Source organism: Homo sapiens, chromosome 18, assembly GCF_000001405.40.
Source record: "Homo sapiens chromosome 18, GRCh38.p14 Primary Assembly".
Taxonomy (NCBI): domain Eukaryota; kingdom Metazoa; phylum Chordata; class Mammalia; order Primates; family Hominidae; genus Homo; species Homo sapiens.
In genome coordinates this window covers 58,300,564-58,319,881 of record NC_000018.10, presented here as the reverse complement: position 1 = coordinate 58,319,881, position 19,318 = coordinate 58,300,564, and the positions used below count along the sequence as shown (strand labels likewise).

At 45.1% G+C, this 19,318-nt stretch overlaps 1 protein-coding gene across 50 annotated transcripts in view, besides 3 other annotated features; it reads right to left on the bottom strand.

Annotated features, from left to right (window-relative positions):
* Nucleotides 1-19,318, bottom strand: part of NEDD4L (NEDD4 like E3 ubiquitin protein ligase) — a 357,315-nt gene that overhangs the window by 81,659 nt on the left and 256,338 nt on the right. For all 50 annotated transcript variants that reach the window (XM_006722426.5, XM_047437406.1, XM_047437407.1 and 47 more), the window contains one exon: nucleotides 3,850-3,900. In XM_006722426.5, coding sequence (XP_006722489.1) covers nucleotides 3,850-3,900 — 51 coding nt within the window. The remainder of the gene's footprint in view (nucleotides 1-3,849; nucleotides 3,901-19,318) is intronic.
* Nucleotides 3,228-4,427: an enhancer, noted in NCBI's record as "CDK7 strongly-dependent group 2 enhancer chr18:55982687-55983886 (GRCh37/hg19 assembly coordinates)". NCBI's record gives its function as "activates an origin of replication core promoter dependent on BRD2, BRD4, P300/CBP, MED14 and CDK7 cofactors, with strong dependence on CDK7, by STARR-seq in HCT116 cells {active_cell/tissue: HCT116}" and the evidence as "EXISTENCE:reporter gene assay evidence [ECO:0000049][PMID:35650434]".
* Nucleotides 9,126-9,348: a silencer, noted in NCBI's record as "fragment chr18:55977766-55977988 (GRCh37/hg19 assembly coordinates)". NCBI's record gives its function as "represses an EF-1alpha promoter that drives an FKBP-Casp9 reporter gene in an ReSE screen in K562 erythroleukemia cells {active_cell/tissue: K562}" and the evidence as "EXISTENCE:reporter gene assay evidence [ECO:0000049][PMID:32094911]".
* Nucleotides 9,221-9,320: a silencer, noted in NCBI's record as "silent region_9484". NCBI's record gives its function as "represses an Ori minimal core promoter by ATAC-STARR-seq in GM12878 lymphoblastoid cells {active_cell/tissue: GM12878}" and the evidence as "EXISTENCE:reporter gene assay evidence [ECO:0000049][PMID:35858748]".

Below are 19,318 nucleotides of genomic sequence, written 5' to 3'. Positions count from 1 at the left end.
TCTCAAGGGCACCTGGCACACTCAACAAACACTAGCCATGTTCATTGGCCAATTCTACACGTTCATATCATTTGTCAGTACTGCCAACTCAATGCCAAGCAGTAACAGGTAGGGCATTAAAATCAAAGTTCACGTTCATTGAAATTCTCTAGCCTGAATTAGAAGATGATCTTATAGATAACTACAAGATTCTTCTTGGCATTCATCCAGGTTCCAATCTGATCCTGTTCCCTGGAGCAGAGCTGAGTGGAGCCTCCCAGGATGGCTTTGAGGGTGCTCCTGGTGGAAAGCCATCTTAAACACACTGCTGCAAACAGTGCTATTAGCCACAATAGCCACAATGCTGCCCCCGTTCCAGGGTAAAAGCATTCAGAAGAAAATCTGGATACTCAGTACTTTCATCTTGAAAGAGAGTAGTTGCTTTCAGCCTAGGTGCATTCACTATGGAATAGAGTGAGATAAAGGATTCTGCAGGCAAATGGAAGGAGAGGGCCCTGCTGGGTCCCTAGACTCGAAACTTGTATGCAACCACTGCAAGCACCTAAGCCTTGGGCGAATCCACCCCATGCCCACACCCTTGACCACATCACAGGCTCACAATGATGCTGGAGAGCCAGGGTCAGATCCAGCACCACCAATGACCTGCTTATTGCTGGGCAAGTCCCCTCCCTCTCTGGGCCCAGGCTTTTTCACCTGGAAAATACTGGGAGTGAATCAGTGTCTCTGAAGTCCCTCCAAACTCCATGATTTTGAATTCTGCACTCATGAGAGGGAACCATCAGCCTGCTACCTGCTACCAGCCATCAGCCATAAACACAAAAGGGGTAAAAGGATGTTGGTCAGCTGAGCTACCTCCAAGTACAGGCAGGGCATCAAATAATACCACCACCCTGAAAATGCCTCATCTAGGAAAATTTAAATTCCAGAGTCAGCCATGGTTGTCTTAAGTGGCACATGACTGGGATTTAGGAAAACTTAATGTTTTAAAATAGCTCTCTCTGCCCCACTGCCTTTCCCAGGGACGAAGAGATTTTGTGGCTGGGCAAAGGTGGGTTACTGAGGGCTCCAGGGGAAGGGGAGACAGAGCTGACAAGTCAAGAGGAAGGTGCAACAGGCAGACACCTGCCAGAAATCTCACTCTGTTAATACAGATCTCAGAGTTCTCTTTATCGCTAAATAATTAATAGATTCAAGTTATCAAATATCATATGAATTTTTAGACAACGATGCACTGAATTTAACAGACAAATGTGAAAACGGCAGTTGAAAAGTCAATGATGGTACAGTTACAGCTAAGTTTGCTCTTGGTCTCTGAATGTAAAAGCAAAAGGAGAGCTTGCTCTGTCTCCAAGGCTGGAGCGCAGTGGTACAACCACGGCTCAGCGTAGTAATGACCTCCCATGCTCAAGCGATCCTCCCACCTCAGCCTTCTAAACAGTTGAGGCAACAGGCATGTGCCACCATGCTGGGTTAATCTTTAAGTTTCTCTATAGAGACAGGGTCTTGCCATGTTGCCAAGGCTGGTCTTTAACTCCTGGACTCAAGCGATCCTCCTGCCTCGGCCTCCAAAAGTGCTGGGGTTACAGGCATGAGCCACTGTGCCTGGTCTATTTCCTTTTATCTAAAGCTTGGTGGTTTTGACAAATTTTGAATCTACAGACTGTTAATAATCCACCTTGACAATGGTCATATACTAATCAAGAACACAGCATCCATAATTCGATCCACAAAATACACGCATATGCTCCCGCCCTCTCCACACTCATACCTGTGTGCTATCACACAAACAGAATGCCACTGTAATTTCCCCATGAGCATCCTATACACACGACCAAACATACACACGAAAGCACCTGAAATCCTGGATTCAAAAGCCACGTGCATTCAGAACACGCAACTTGGGTTCTACTGCCACATGAATAAAGAATATACCTTCACGCCTCTCCTTTTGTTTTCTTTGTGGTCCATCTCTCTGACTATAGTTGGCTGTGAACAGCTAGTCAGTTTGAAGTATGGAGGTGAAGCACGCCACTGCAAGTTACCCTCTGGGCACACGAGTAACTAGGGGCACTCGGTCCTCTCTGGGCGTTCACGGCTCTACCCTCTGCAATCGGCTGGCTTCTATTCCTGCCCTGTGCCTCTGCACCGCTTCCTTCTTTGAAGGCTCACTGACCCTGCCTCCACTCAGAATCCAAAGCTAAACTATTCTTTATACTGACTTGGCCTCGGAGGAGGAACCTTTTTCTATTTTCTGGGAGCCCTACTCAACCTTTCAAGACCAGGTGCTGCTCACTCACTCAAAAAAGAGCTTGTCAGAGCAAGGTTTTTAAACATGTCACTTTTGCCTCTTACCAAATATTAGAATATTTGCCTCTCAGAAAATAATTTCCCCTGGCCAAGATGTGGTTTTTACATTAGGGAAAGGGTGGCTGGAGACGTCCATAAAAGAGCTGGCCCATCAACCAACACTGTCTAAAAGTGTGAGAGGATCGCAGCTTCAGTCTGAAGAACATACACAGAAGACCTCCCAACGTAGAAGGATGCGAGGTCTTTGCTCACAAAAGGTGAAATAGTCACATCCTCCCAACGTGACCTGAGAAGAGCAGTCAGGTTTCTGATGGCTCATGGAGTAGTTCTCACGCAGAAGCCCTGGGCAGGCCCCTCCCGTGGCACCCTGGAGCTTCAGAGTTTTAAAAAGAAACAAACAAGATATTTTAAGAATATCACTTTCACTTCCAGTCCTTTGGAACCTTGCGACTTTCTTCCTTAACAGCTCCCCTGAGTGAGTAAGAGTAAATTACTTGCTATCACCTTCCTTCACAACACATCTTCAAAGCTTACTTGGTATTTAACATATGGAAACAGCCATAATTTCCACACAGCAGGAAGCTTATGCTAGCTTTAAATAGCTTTAAATAAAGTAAATAAAGTAAAGTCACTTTACTTTATAGACTATTTATGCTATTTGCTCACACAAAGCATTTAAAAAAATAACACAATGCCCTTGTAAGGCAGAAACATTCGCCTTTCCTCTCTCAGCTGCTACTTCTATCACGTCGTTGTGCTGCCCAGGGAAGAAGGCCAGGAGGAAGGCTGGGACAAGCCGGAAAACTGAAGCTGGAATAGGAGATGGGGATCCACCTTTCTCAAGGCCTCCAGGTCCTACCTACACATTCTGTCTGCCCTGCCTCCTGTTTCGGGTGTCAGCCCTAATGCCCGTCACTAGTCAACAGCCTCGACTGCTCCGCTACTTTGAGCAGAGAGAAATGGCAGCACCACACATGCTAACTCAGTGCGTGTTCCAGCGAGGGTGGGTGTTCCCAGCTGACAAGTTCACTCAGAATGAACAGGCTCTTCTTTTGTCACCATGCTGACTGAGAAAGCCAGACACCAAAATCTGGGAAATGCTATTATAGTTTGTGTACAGGAATCCAAGAGAAATGGCATGTGCGGTTCCAGACAAAGAGTGCAAACATCTGATGGGACCCGGAGGATGCATTAGGAAGCAGAGACAGTAAGTGACAAGAAGGGAGGCCTGAGTGAAGGAGGTGTCTGTTTTGTAAGATGTGATACACAAAGGTGGAGCAGCTGAAGTGCAGAAAAGAGAGGGAGCTGGTGGATGGGAACGCAAGCGCACGACTCAGGCACCCTTGACTACTCTTACAGCCAGCTTCTCCTCCATCCCCTTGAAAGGACCACTTTCCAGAAAGGACTAAGGCCACAGCACACGTGCTTCATTTCAGCCTTCTTCACCGTGGTGAAGAAATGCCACTCTGAAAATACACTGACTACAAACAATTAGAAACCCCCGCCCCCAGCACGAAGCATCAAACATGAGACTGTCCTTACCGGAAGGTGACTAAGGGGCACGTCCACCTGGCCCAGGAAGTCGTCTCGTGTCTGTTAGGAAGAGAACAAAGAGTTAGTGTTTCCATTTCTTCACTGAGCGTCAGCATTTCCTAAAAATGTTTTATCATGAATAGAGACAAAGGTCCAGGGCCTGGCACTGGAATGTGGAGGGCGGAAGGCCCCGAGGAGACACGAGTAACCACACCCCGGGAGACCAGGAGCCCGTGCGCCTGGACTGAGCTGGCTGAGATTCTGTCTGGTGTCTGCTACCAAGCACAATGCTATGGAAGCCTCTGTAGAAGCTGGGAGAACATGATCAGTCAGGGAAGAGACAGGCAGGGTTTGAGGGCACAGCTGGGCCCAGCTGAAAGAGAAGATGGCAAACAAATGCTGGGAACATTTTAATAAGTGTTTACTGATCCAATGCTAAAAACTAAAGAGCTTCTTGAGAGCTGAGAGCCAATGGAAAAAGTATATGGCCTAGTTACCAATGCATCTTACAAACTGCATCTCACAAAAAAATACACACTTTTTAAATCCAGTAAGTACATTGTTTTTTTTTTAATCTAGTAAGTGCACTGCTTCAGAGTCCACGTATATGGATCAGGTCCTGCTAATTTTTGGACACACCATGCCTCTCCCTCTCCACATCTACCATACTGCACGTATCTCTCCCGACTTCAAAGAGGCCCAGGTGAAAATCATTTGGAGCCACGCACCAGTCCCCTCTCAGGCTCTGGGAGTCATCTGGGAAGTCATGATTCAGCTCCAGAGGTCACTGGCCTGGACCACAGTCACACTATATCCCTCAGTTACGGTGCTTGTGGCATGGCCTCTGATGTTTAGATGACCCGAGAAGCAAACTGGAACACAATGACTATTTGCCGCTCTCATATAAAAAGATGCAGCTGGTTCCACCACATTCAAAATGCGTAAAAGCTGGGCAGTTCTTTAGATATGATGAGACCAGCCCCATAGCCAGCTTGAGCCACCTAAGAAGGAATCCAGCCTACCTGGTGCTGAATCCTGGCCTCTTATTTCTACTCTGCTAGTTTACAGAGGAAGTTTCTAATTCACATATGCTATTTTTCAAGTGTACTTGAAAAACATTCTCTTCTTCCATTTAAAAGGAAGCAGCAGGTAAATATGAATGAGATTTATTGAAATGACTTGCTCCAAGCGTAGGAATTCCTTTTAGATAATTGAAAAAATTTGATGAACTGGAAAGCCATCTGTCTCCTCTAAACAATCCATTCTGGATAATAAAAAAATCAAAGTTACCACGGTTTGGGTATGCATGAAGAATGAGACTAGCCCCAATCCTTTTGATGAGATTTTCATTTCTTTTACTTTCTTAGCTGTATCTACTACAACTCAACGTGGAGACGCCTCATCTAGCATAGAGCGGTAAGAGGAGGTGCCCACAGATTCTGTATGTCTTACCAAGAGCAGCAGTCAGCAGAAGGCCTTGAGAATAATGACAGCCTTGCTATCCAGCTCACAGACCTAATCACGCTGCCCCAGTGACTCACACCAATGACAGTTACACAAGGAATTAGGCAGTGTGCCTGTTAGTTCTCTATTTGGCTGATTTCACTATTTTTTTTTTTTTTTGAGACAGAGTCTCTTGCTCTGTCGCCCAGGCTGGAGTACAGTGGTGCAATCTCAGCTCACTGCAACCTCCGCCTCCTGGGTTAAAGCGATTCTCCTGCCTCAGCCTACTGAGTAATTGGGACTACAGGCACACACCACCACGCCCAGCTAATTTTTGTATTTTTAGCAGAGATGGGGTTTCACCACGTTGGCCAGGCTGGTCTCGAACATCTGACCTCCAACGATCTGCCCTCCTCGACCTCCCAAAGTGCTAGGATTACAGGTGTGAGTCACCATGCCTGGCCTGATTTTGCTATAATTTTAAAGCTAATATAAATATCAGTTAACTGTACTATAAAAAAAAGAAATTCACTGAATATTGACCATAAATTGTCTGCTTAATGTGAGCAGAGTAGTGTGGCCACTTGCCACCTCTCCTCCTCCTGCTATGGCTGCTAATGTGGGAAGGAAAAGACAATCAGCAGAAGGACAAGACAATCTTATTCAAAGCTGTTTCACAGCCTGATAGCTTTGAAAGGCTGCCCATGAATCATTAACCTAAGTGCACTTCAACAAAACTTCACAAAATATCTATATGCCCGTGTTGTTTTGCCAGGGAGACATCTGAGTTCTAAACTGATAAAACAGGTTAAAGCTTTGCCCAGACACCAAAAGACAGGCACCCAGTACTAATGGCTGGCAGCCAGTCTTTACACAGTGCTCACTCTCTGTGGGCTCTGTGCCAAGGCTGCGTCTAGTTCTCGCAACAACCTTCAGAGGCAGGTACAATGATTGTGCCCATTTTACAGATAGGAAGCCAGAGAGGTATGTGGCCAAGCTGCCCATCAGCCTGTGCCCTTAACTGACACTGTGTGCCATATGTCAGCAACTGGCAGGAAAGCAAGGCGGTACCAGCTCTGGGCTTCTGACTGGATGCTGGCTTTAAACGGTGTAGATGAGAAGGGAGGGATTCTGATGATGGCACAGTCTGATGAGACTTCAGAGGGTTCTGGTAAAATGCTTATTTGCTATGTTATCTTTACACTACCTCCTACTCCAACCGTTCCTTTCCTCAAATGGAATACAGTTTACCGAATTCCCTGAGGTACTGCAAAAGCCAGGAAACTACACTTATACCTTTTATCACGTTTTCTCATGATGTTAAAAAAATGTTTTAAAACAGTAAAAGATGAGACAATTTGCCATTAAAGGAAACGGAAGGCTCTTATTAGTTTACATGAATAGAGATGGAAATTATTTTTGAAATAAAATAGGGATCAAGCACAAAAATGCACATGGTCAAAATGAATTGGCTTAAACTAGTGTTTCACCAGTCAATGGAAGATGTAGTTGGTGAGAGATCTAGGTTTCAAAGCATCCCATTGCTGCTAAAACTACAGAAAGTTCAGGCCATGTGAAATATTTAGGTTAGGGACACTACACCGATTAAAAACAAAAATGGCCAGGTACGGTGGCTCACGCCTGTAATCTAAGCACTTTGGAAGGCTGAGGCGGGCAGATCACTTGAGGTCAGGAGTTCGAGATCACCCCGGCCAATATGGCGAAATCCCATCTCTACTAAAAACACAAAATTAGCTGGGCTTGGTGGCTCATGCCTGTAGTCCCAGCTACTTGGGAGGTTGAGGCAGGAGAATCGCTTGAACCCGGGAGGCGGAGGTTGCAGTGAGTTGAGATCATGTCACTTGCACTCCAGTCTGGGAGACAGGGCAAGACTCCATCTCAAAAACAAACAAACAAACAAACAAAAAATGTCTTCAACCCTGCAGAGGAGATCTAACAGGGGATCAGAGAACCTCCTGGTGCCTTTATGCCACAGGGAGGAGCAGGCATGTTGAAGGAACACCTCTGTTTGATGGTAAGAGGAACTGGGAGGTGTGCTAGTGTGTGGGATCCTGCCTGTGGGCCCCGGAGGGACAACGTTTGAGGCCATCACAGCACCCTTAGGTCATCACCACCACAGTGCAACACCTCATACCAACATTATAAAAGCATTAATCAAATCAATTTTTAATGATTTCCAATACAAAATTATTTCCATCAAGCATCAAGTTAACTACAATAGCCTACAAAACCAAATTAACTTCAACTCATTCGGTGAACATTGGTATTTCTTGTGGTTATTTTTAAGTGGTAAAATGCTGTCAATTTCCATGCCATTACCTGCCATCCAATTCTCAAGGTTGAAAATGTGCCTTTCAGTAACAAAATAATAGATGTTCCCTTCTAATGAGCCATCAAATATTTTTCCTGTGAAATGACAATGTAGAATGGAGCCCCTGAAACGTGTCCTATCAGGTGAAACAAAAATTCATATTCCGATATTGGAAAAGTTAAATAAATACACAAATAAAACACTGTGTCCTTTAGAGCTTGTGCGGTAAATACTGATGAACTACATTCAGGACTGCCACCCTCCCATTTAAAAATCACTACTAAGTAAGAAGGAGGGGACAAGTGGGCGCCCTGTTCATGCAGAGGGGTATGCTGCCACCAAGGGTGGATGCCACTGGGACCTGAAGCCCGGGGGCTATTATAATCGCTCCAGTGAAAGAGATTATAGCCTATGGGCATTTCCCCAGATGGGAGTGCACACTAGGTCAAATCTGTCAGCACTGACGTGGACGCCAGGCTTAGATGTCCTCACAAAATACTCAAGACTCAATTTCTCAAAGAACACATCCATTCAAACAACAACAACAACAACAACAACAAAAACCACAGGGACTCTTATCTTTAGGGTAGAACTGTACTTGAAGGATGTGATTCGAATCTTACTATACACCAATGACCACCCCACCCTATTCCTTTCAAGACAGAGGCGGTGGTAGCAGAGCTGGGTGCACAGTGAACTTCACACGGAAGCTCAAAGGGAGAGCACCTGACTGTGCAGAAGAAAAGTATTAAAGGAAGTAAGGGCTACCCACAGGTCACGCTGGGGTCCTAAAGACCCCCAGCTGGGAGCCCAGGGGGTTGAGGGTGCAAGGAGCTATGATCGTGCCACCAAACTCCAGCCGGGGTAACAGAGCAAAAGCACTGGTGATTCTTGGTAAAATGACCCATGTGTATTTCTGGAGCTATGTATCAAGGTAATATTTTTTAAGTTGTGAGTTACAGTCCCACAAATGGTACACAGGAAGTATTTTTTAAAGTTAAGCATAATATAGAACAGAAAATATCAGTGCCTCACATAAAACACAGGTATGTGCTATTTTGAGGAACTCATCTCAGTTACATGCATACATAAATGTGTGTACTAAGTTGTGATCTAAGGTTAATTTCTTTTTGTGTGCCATCAAAAGAATTAGAAAGCCACTCAACTACAGAAAAGGAAAACCATCCACTATTACCAACTGTCTGGGGTTCCATCCTCAAAATCATTAAGTAGTGATTTCCAAAAAAAAAAAGGTTTAGAGTTTCTTAAGACAAATGGAAGGGAATTGTAGAGAATTTAGAACATAAGTCAGACAATAATAGAATGTAAGCAAAGACAGCATATGATCAGATCTTTGTATGTTACAGATCGAGGTAAACATCACAGCTGCCTCTAACACTAAGCCAGAAAAACAACCTGGGCTTTCCCAGAGGACTAGCGAGTGCAGCTACCCCATCAGCTGTGCCACTGGCCGGCCCCAGTGCTGACAGAGGCCCTCAGTAATGCATGACGCCAGCTTTGGCATTACAGAGAAAAGGAAGGCAGAATGTTCCTTTTCCTCCTTCCACTTGTCAGGCACCTCAGCTTCCATCATGCAATCAGAGCAGGGCTGTGGTTCAGGAAGAGGTAAAGTGTGAGTGCGGTTCCACCCACGCTGGGCGTTGCATAACCCAAGGAAGGTTTCTGCACCTGGGTGGTGCCTCTGCCTTTCAAGGTGAATTGCTTCAAAATATGTCACTGAAATTACCTTAATCAAATAAGAGCCAAGTGGCACTCAAATAAAGAAAAAAGTGTGATGACATATTCTCTGAATGCACATACTCCTACCAAAATTCACTTCATATGCACCAGAACACAAAACCCAAACAAAATTCAAGTACTTTTTGGTAAACACACACAGGGCTTTTACATGGCCAGCTCCTCTGCCATTTAATTTTTAAGAAGTAAGGGACAAAATCTGCCATTCAGTTATACACAGTAAGGTGTGTCCTAGAGACACTGGTCCTTATTTATAACAACAAACAGGACCTCCATGTCAACAGAGTGTCAGAGCAAATTTGCAGGACTTTTACAGGCCCCAGGAAAACCATGCTGGAAGGCAGCAGAACTCAACCCTGCTGGCTGTACCTACAACCAGGAAGACCATCTATTTTGAGGAACACTTATTACTGAAGTTTAAAAAGTTAAACTGAAGTCAGAGAGAGAGAAAGAGAGCGAGCAAGAGTGAGAGTGAGAGCGAGAGCGAGAGCAAGCGCAAGCAAAGAACAACTGTGCTTGCAAGGATTGCAGCAGCCCTGCAATAGCAGCCTGGCTTTAACTCCAAAGCATAACTAGACCAGTATAATCGGGGTGGTGAGAAGACACTCCTTTGTGGGCTCAGAGGGAGTCCTGGTGGCTCCAGGTACTTGGCTGTGACATCAGGGGATGAGGTGTACCTGATGTCCCCACCTCCCTCTGGTTGGGTGGAAGTGGTTCAAGAACACTCAGTTCTCTGCCCCACACCAAATATAAGCATATCCCAGGTGCGGGGTCAACTAAGGGCCACAAGAATCACCATTTTTTTTTTTTTTGCAGGAGGAGCACTTGATAATCTGAACTTAAGACCCAGGAAACTGGGGGTGCGAACACTGGGATAGGACTCTGCCAACTAGATGCCCAGGTGAGCAGCACTGTTGTGCTTAGGAGCTTTTCCTCATCAGCTCCTTCAGGCAGGGCTCAGCCACAGGCAGGAGGCATCTCTCCCCGCACATCCTCACCTGGACTGTCCATGGTTCAAGTGCTCAGCAGCCACAGGGTCTGGGGGCTTTGGAGCTCTGGACAGGATAGGACAACAGAGTTCTGCCACGTAGCAGGGGCATGAGCAGAATACTGCAGGGACACCTTGAGGGAGTGACAGATTCTGCTGAGGGAAGGCCAGGGATGACTGTGCAGGACGTAACTTCAAGCAGGGTCCTGAGGGAGGAGTTTGCAGGGAGGACAGAGCAGGGATGACAGGAGTGGCCAGCACGGGAGCATCCGGCTGAGGGCTCGCTGACTAAAAGGTCCATGCCACTGATGAGGCGTGGCCCCGTGGGGCAGTGGGGGGGAGGGAAACTGAGGCCAGGCCTCAGGGTCCCATATGGCTTGCTCTCTCAAGACGACAGTCTCCCAGGGCAAGTGAAGACACATGAGGACATTAAACAGGGAATAACTGGCAAGGACTGTGTCCCAAAAAGGTGCCTGAGCAGGAGAGCTGACTGGAGAGAGAGCGCCGAGGACAGCGCTGAGGACAGCGTGAAGTCACCCAGTTGAGCACCACGAGGGTGCAGCCCACTCAGGACACGGAAGGTGCGGTGTCCCAGCAGAAGGGTTCCGCTCAGGGACGCTTCTTGTCAGCAGGTGTTTGTACACTGGGTGATGAGGGCATCAGGTAATGCCCACTAAGGCCTCAGTGCAGTGCCCATCAGGAGGGATGGGAGCTGCAGACCAACGTTACTGACTTGACGCAGACACAAAGCAAAAGTGGAGGACGGTGGAGGAAGAAGCAGCCCAAGGGAGGCGCGGCCAGACCACTGCCTGAGACTCGTGCTGAGTGCAGGACCAGCTGTCCCACCATCCAGGCACTGAAGCTGCCTGCAGCACAGGTGGCAACAGTCCATGCTGCCTGTCACCCTGATGGTCACCGCCTTTATTCTCCTCTCTGTGAAGAGATGTCTTCCCCTTTCACCCAGATGTGCTTGGTTACAGATCTAGGGGAAACGACTGCCTCTTCAATGTTGTACCTTTTCAGAGGAGGGAAGAAGCCAGAGCTTGTCATGCTTACAGGTTCTGGGGCACAGCCTGGCATCACAGTTACTGTTACATCTGCTGCAAAGCTGTCCAGCTGCACAAATGCCACTGACAGCTTCTTAGAAGGCTATTCTATTTTTGCAAAAAATGCAGATGTAGAAACCCCCCAGGTATTACTGGGGTCCTGTTATTAATTGTTCCTTCACTGTCTTTCTTGTGAAAGAAATGCTAAATGTATCTGCTGAATAAACTAAAACATTTTAATGAATATAACATGCTAAAAATAAGGCAAACATGTACATATATTCTATTTCTTACAAAGCAAACTGATATGAGATTGAACTTAATTTAAAAGTTAATTTTAAAGTTAATTTAGAAGGAAAATGTGTCACTGGGTTCTCTTAATATAATATTGTTTAATTTTGTGCTTCTGGTTTTATGGTGCAATTTGTCTTAATTTCTTAAGATTTCAGGATAATTTTACCAGGATAAGTGTCTCTTTTCTACTTTTTTAAAATCAAATCTTCTGCAAGCAATTTTAATACCAGACTAAATGTATCAAGGAAAAAATAGCAATGATACTTCTAGATCCTATATTTTTTTCTCTGAACTTAGCTACCAAAGAACAGATCTTAATCTGAAATATTGAATGACAGACACTCTTGGTAACCATGCAGTGTCAAGAAATGATTTGGATTTGGGTAAAAGTAAGCCTAAGTACACCAGGGGTTCAATGCCAGTTTTTACTTTGATTTCATTTTCATATTTATTGCTAAAAGCTCTTCCTCACATATCTCCGGGCATCTGAACCTCACAGTCCATCCCACTGCCTGGCTGTCTCATAGTTGGGATATGTAGAATGTCACAAGCCAGCAACAACAAATTACACGGGAATGGAAGTGCCGTGTGGTTTTATTCTTGAATTGCAATTACTGAAGACTCTGAACTAGAGTCATACAGGTTTACACAAGGACACTAGCTAACTTTTCATAAACTCTCCATTAAACAGCCTCAATGTAGGCATTGGCATTCTAGTTAGATCTGCTGCAGGACTTTTCCTTAGTTCAGCTTAAGAGGGGTCCTTGTCACATGACTACGAAAAATTAGGCTCACAATTTAAAGGGTGAGAAAAATGGGATTTATTGGACAAAAAGGAAAAAAAGGAAAGCAGGAACTCTCCACCAAGCTGGAGTCCTGCTAGTGTGCTTCCTGCCTCGCAGACTGAATCCTAGGTACCATCCAAGAAGACGAGGGGCCAGGCTCCTCCCTGCTGCAAATGGCTCCAACTTCCCAAGGCTCCACCCCAGTGCGCACTCCTCCCAGTGTGCGGGTCGGTCAGAGGCTCTCCCGGGGAGCCATTTCCACCTGGCTGTCTCAGATCCTTTCCTCCTTTAGCCATATTTTGGCTGAAATCACATCTCTGCCCAGTGGACTCCACCAAAGTTGGCTGGGGGAAAAGCTCCAGCTTTACTCTGGGGAGAAACTCAGGATTGCAAGGAATAACAAGCCAACCTGTAGCTCATCTATCATGTGCCAAACACTGCTATAAGGAGGTTAAGAAACTTGCCTGGGCATGGTGGCTCACGCCTGTAATCCCAGCACTTTGGGAAGCTGAGGTGGGTGAATCACCTGAGGTCAGGAGTTCGAGAACAGCCTGGCCAACATGGTGAAACCCGGTCTGTACTAAAGTACTAAAAATACAAAAATTAGCCGGGCGTGGTGGCGGTTGCCTGTAATCTCAGCTACTTGGGAGGCTGAGGCAGGAGAATTGCTTGAACCCAAAAGGCAGAGGTTACAGTGAGCTGAGATTGCACCATTGCACTCCAGCCTGGGTGACAAGAGCAAAATTCCATTTCAAAAAAAAAAAAGAAGAAAGAAACTTGCCCAAAGTCATAGAGCTAGTAGGTAGTGGCCCAAACATGAACCCAGGCAGTCTTCCATCATGATGCAGAACCTGTACTTCATGTACCAGAGTTGTAAGGAAAACATGAACAGGCTCCCCGAATCCCTCCTCAAAAATCCTAGTATGCTATGCTGCCATCCCCAACTCCATATCCCCTCATGGATTATGCTTGCCAAATCTTGCCATGTGCCCTTCCTTCCTCATCTATATTTTAATATAAAAATGAAATGAGTAACGTATGAGCTTGAAAGAGAAAACAAATGGAATTGAATAGTTTTTATTCTTTTACTTCACCCCCCTCATCTCCCCCACCCCTGATATCTTTTAAAGCAGAGCTCTTCAAACTGGAGCATGCACAGCTCTGGGGATATACAAAGACATTCCAGGGGACTTGGACATGGACAATTCTAGAGAAATCATTTTCTAGATCCTTCCATATGTCCTCTTCCTTGAAACCGATCTGGCATGAGAACAGTGCTTGCCTTCTGTGGCTCTCCTTTCCTGCTTACCCTTTCTAAATCACAACCCTCCATCCCTGCCTTTCCAAAGAAAGACATACTCCTCACCCTTCTTGAATCATACACCATGGTCCACTTTGCTGGGTATAAAAGCCACTGGAGGACAAAATAATGAAGGAACAGAATCTATCATAAAGTCAAACTATTAACTAGGTTGTTATAAAAACATTTCCCTGAAAACTTCTAAGTAGTTAAAGCTAAGTCTCCCGGCTCCCTCCCCTCCCCACCCGACACAACAATTTTAGATGACAGCAATGGAAAAGAAAAATTCCTTCTTTCCACACACCAGCTTGATGAGAAAAGTGTGGAGAGGAAAACTTCAAAACTTTGTAAAACAAATTAAACCAAAGATTATATGTATTTTGAACGTATACCATATAAAACAAGGATGTCCAAGGATGAGGAGAAACTTCCATTAACTAGATTTCGGAGTCTAGCAGGTGCTCGTTTAGGCAGAGAGTATGGGCCTCCTTCTCCCTACAATCCACTGAAGACACACTGAGAAACAGGGCCCAACTCACTCTTTTTCTAGTCTCTTTATGACAGAGTAACACCAGCAGGTACTGGAGCAGAATGCGCAGCACTGAGGTGTGCCATTAACCAGAGGTGCCCAGGCTGCTTAGACACTGGAATCCCTGCAAAGTTCTCAAATCACTGTACCCAGGCCTCACCTCAGAAAATTAAATTTCTGGTGGAGGGGCTCAGTTGTAGGTGTGATTTAAAAGCCCTCTATCTTATTCTAATTTTTGGCCAGGGCTGACAACCACTGGGTGAAGCTACCCGTTTTCCTTGTTCACAAAAGAGAAACTATAATTACTTATTAAACTAGTGGAGTGACACTGATCAGCAAACTGATACTAAATTGCAATCTCAGAGTATATGATAGGTTCCCCTCCTTCTCCAGCTCTCCTCACTTGTGCCTCTGCTGTTCTCCTAAATGAGAAATCGCTGGGCCCATTTACATATGGAGGTAAAAATAACTGCCTGGGCCCGGAATGCAGATGGGATGCAGAAGATGGTGCATTTCTGGCTGCCCCTGTTTGGAACCCTAGCCCTCTGGCCTGATAGGGCTGGGATATTAATAGGAGTAAGATTCACAGGTGCACAAAGCACAGGGATTTCACTGGTCATAGCCAAGGGATATCTGGCTGCCACTCTAACACTGGGGCTAAAAAGACAAATCCCATTTCAAAATAGAACCAGAGAATGTGATCTTTAGGAGGGACCTCAAAAGTCATTTAGTGCAACATACATCTTAGGCTTGTATCCTCATCCATCCCCTCTTTCAAGTGGTTGCTCACCCTGCTTAGCTTTGAACATCATCAGTGATGGGGAGCTAACTACATAATGGGTTTGTGGAAAGCGGATGGGTTTTGGACATATAGATGGCTAGTTTAAAATCCCATGTCTATCTAGAAGTAGCTGAACAACCAAAGGAAGGTTTCTCAATCACCAAAGGCCAATCTCATCCAAAGTGAGGATAAAAACCACTTTATCTTGCACAGTCATTGATATTACATGGGAAAATTAGATTCAACAAATGTTCTTTCTTTCTTTTTTAATTGAGACAGAGTCTTGTTATGTTGCCCAGGCTGAAGTGCAGTGTCACAAACATAGCTCACTGTAGCCTCAAACTCCTGGGTCCAAGCAATCCTCCCACTTCAGCCTCCTGAGTAGCTAAGACTACAGGCATGTACTACCACATCAGGCTAATTTTTTTTTTTTTTTTTTGTAGAGACAGGGTCTTGTCCAGGTGGTCTCAAAGTCCTGGGCTTAAGTGATCCTCCCACCTCGGCTTCCCAAAGTGCTGAGATTACAGGTATGAGCCACTGCCCCTGGCCAATAAATGTTACTTCTGACTAGGGTATCTCAAAGTCAGCATCATTAACATTTGGAGCTAGATAATTCTTTCCGTGAGGGCTGTCCTATGCTTCGTAAGGTATTTGGAAGCATCTCTGGCTTCTGCTCACTAGATATAGCAGCAACTCTCACCCCTCAGTTTTGTGCAATCCAAAACTGTCAAACGTCCCTGGGAGGCAGGTGTGGGGTCAGGGGGAAGAAGTGCTCCCAGTTGAGGACTACTGTCCAATCCTACTCCCTCCCCTCCACTCTGGAAGGTGTCCATTCCATCTTTGGGCAACTCTATAAGAATGTTCTAGTAATCTGGTGTTCATTTTTCTTTAACTCCTATCTCCTTGAAACATCAAAAGAAAAGTAATGTAAGTTTCTGTAACCAGAAAGTGGCAGGACTAGGATTTCAACCAGAATCTCTTCCATGCTAACACTCAAGAGTGAAACAGTTATTTGTTTCCACTATTTCTTAGTGGCTAATCTCTACCACGGGTCAGGATGGCTTAATTTGAAGAAAGTTACATCCTTATCCTCTAGCTGCTTTTCCTTTTGCCCCCAGAGTACTTAGAAAAAGATCAGCAAGCAAAGCTCCATGTACCAGAGTATTTCCTTATTAACGGGTAAAACAGAGAGTGTGACATAGTTCACTATGTGGCTGCCAGGGAAATCCCCAAGAAGCTGAGACCAAAGGCGGAGCTCCTTGCAAGACTGAGTTGTGTTTAAGATCAAGAGCAAAAGTTACACAGTTTCCAGAATAAGGAGCCAGGCTACATAGGGCTATTAATGGGAACACACAGTGGGGCTAGCATCAAAGCCAGGAAAGCCCAGGAACATGAGAGAGGAAATGTGAGGGTGCTTTAGAGAAAAGCCCAGAGGAGCAAAATGCCCCAAATATTCACTTCAATGTCGTGTCAAAAGCCTTCAACAATCAAACTACCAAAAACAATAAGAATGAGCATCCTAGGCACCAACCTTTGACTCTTTATGTCTCAAAACACAAGATCAACCTGGGAGAGAAAAGTTCCATTCATTACTCATGACTTTTTCCAAGAATCACTGTGTACATGGGCTACAATTCAAGTGCCCATGCTTGCAAGAAGTGGTTGTGCACCTCTGCCATTTGGAAAACCCACCAGGATGAGTCAAGTAAGGCCCCAGGAGCAGGGCTGCCCAGTGCTGACGGCAGGTGTCTACTTCACTTTTGCATTCTGATGCCTCTCTTGCCTCACCCTAGTCTCAGTCCTGAAATCCACTTCTGTTGCACTGCATGCCCTCTACTGACGACTACAAGGTAGAAGAGATGAGGAAAGCACTATCTCCAAGAAGTACATCACCTCGAAGCATGTGTTCAAAGTCACAGGTGGAGATCTGAAGTACGCCGTGGGAGGGGTCCTCCCAGGCCTGGGGCATGGAGCCTTGGGTACTGTTGCTTGCTGGGAAAGAGCTAGCTAAATGGGCACCAATCCTTCCCTGGACAAGGGTCCTCATCTGGAAAATGGGGCTAAGACCATCTGCGTGTTCTATTTCATAAACTGGTACATATCTCAGATGTCAGGGTATATGAAAGGCTGCTGCAAGTTACTATTGAATGTTATTAAGCTACTGTCAATATTTTAAATTGACTGTTGAGAAATAGGAGTAGTAGTGGGTCCCTGCCAAGGCTGGCCAACTGGAAAGCATACAGTTATTTTCAGAAAGCCAGTGGTTCAATTCATCTGGTCTCCAATGAAGGAACTGTTGTGTTGCAGAGTTCAGTGTGTGCAATTTGAGAAACCCTGTTCTATTCTGTGAGGACAAAGTATATGAACGAGCTTTAAAAAAAGTGGGATGGAATGTTAGAAAGTATCCCTTAAAAAATAATTTCATAAAGCAATGAAAGGTAGCATAAGGAGCAAGATGCAAGACTAAATAAGGCTAAAAAACGTGCTCTAACCTCAAAACGGGGACACTCTCTTGGGATTTTAGAAATGACTTCTTTTTTTCCCCTTTAAAACATTATCTAGTGGGAAGCTATTCACCAATGTGTATACATGATACACTGAAGAGGCCATTTACGTATATGCTGGTTGTATGAAACATGAAGCCTATAATCCCAAAGAAAATTGTGTCATCAACAGTAATCCTCAGGCTAGACGACAAAAGATTCCGAAATCTACAAAGTAACTGGGATACCAAGCAGCACTAACCCAGGAGCTTCAGTTACATTCTCTCACTATGCTGAAGTTCTTAGTGAATCCCCCTATCACCGGGGCAGGGGCAACAAGGGGATGTGATGCGTTCCATCACACTTCCAAGTGCACACTGGTGGGCACCTCCATAGGGCGCCTGTAGGGAATCAAAGGGCATGGCACCAGTGGTAACTCACCTCTGATGACAGAGCTGGGCTTGGGGCCTGGGCACAGTTTCTTGGTCATCCTAAACATTAATGGGTATTCTGCATTCAACTCCATGATATTTCAATGGCTAGAACTAAGGCTGCAGAAATACGCACCATGTTTCTACCGTACGATTCACAGACAACAGCTTGAAAAAACACAGGCTGCTCCAACAATCACAGGGACCCTGGCAGAACTGTTCAGCTGCACTCCCTCTGACCCTGAGTAAGCTCCCTAGCCTCTCTGAGCGTCTCTCAAGTGGAGATAATAGTTTATAATCCAATGCATTATTAGAGGAATCATGAAGATATGCACAAAACTAGCATAAGGTCTGAAAGACAGCAGATGTCTGAGAGGTAAATTAGACTGTTATTCTACAGGGTACCTCCCTGGAAAGAAAACCAGAGAGAGTGACACATTGCAGGGGGCACTTAGGAGCTGGCCTACATAGTCACAGCTATAAACTATATAGATGATTCCCACATAACTTTCAACCTTCCCATTGATCAAAGCGCCCAATTTCATTAAAATTCAACTTCTAATGACTATATTCATGGGCTGAATTTTACTAGAACACGAGGAGGAGAAGGGGTCAGTGAATAGCAATGGCCCAGGAGTTCAGATACTCTGGGCTAAACTGATATATTCAGACACGTAAATGAGCTCTATAAGTTGTCATTCTTTTATTGATTTAATCATTTGAGCTCTTCCATAGTTTAAAGGAAAGAGTACTGAGAGAGTTAAAGGAACCTGGTGACTAACACACTATGGAACCCAAGGGAAATCACCTAAACTTTCTGTGCTGTATTTCTGTGCTGTATAAAACGTGGGGCTAAGACTCGGCGATTCAAAGATTCTTTATACATGTACAATTCTCAGAGCTTATGAGATACACCCTGCTGTAATAATACCAGTTTCCTTTGCCCTTAGTGTCTATTTTGGACAAAGTTTAACTGAAAAAAATTCTCTAATAATCTGTAAATCAAGCAATATGCACATACTTCCAATTTAGAATCTGAGGAGCAAATCTAGTAAAGCAGACAGAGCTGCACACAGGGGCAAACCTTGTCCACTGGGCCACAGACTCATTCATCCTGGAACCCCTTGCACCTAACAGAGCCCAGCATATACTGGAATTCGGTAATACTGCACTGAACTGAGCTGGGACTCTCTGACTGCCATGTGCAAAAAACTCCAGGCATGGCCTATACAGAGTTTCTCTGCTCTCATTCCTGAGTAATTCTGAGAACTGAGCACTGAGAAAGACAGCAAAAAGAGCATGGCTCCG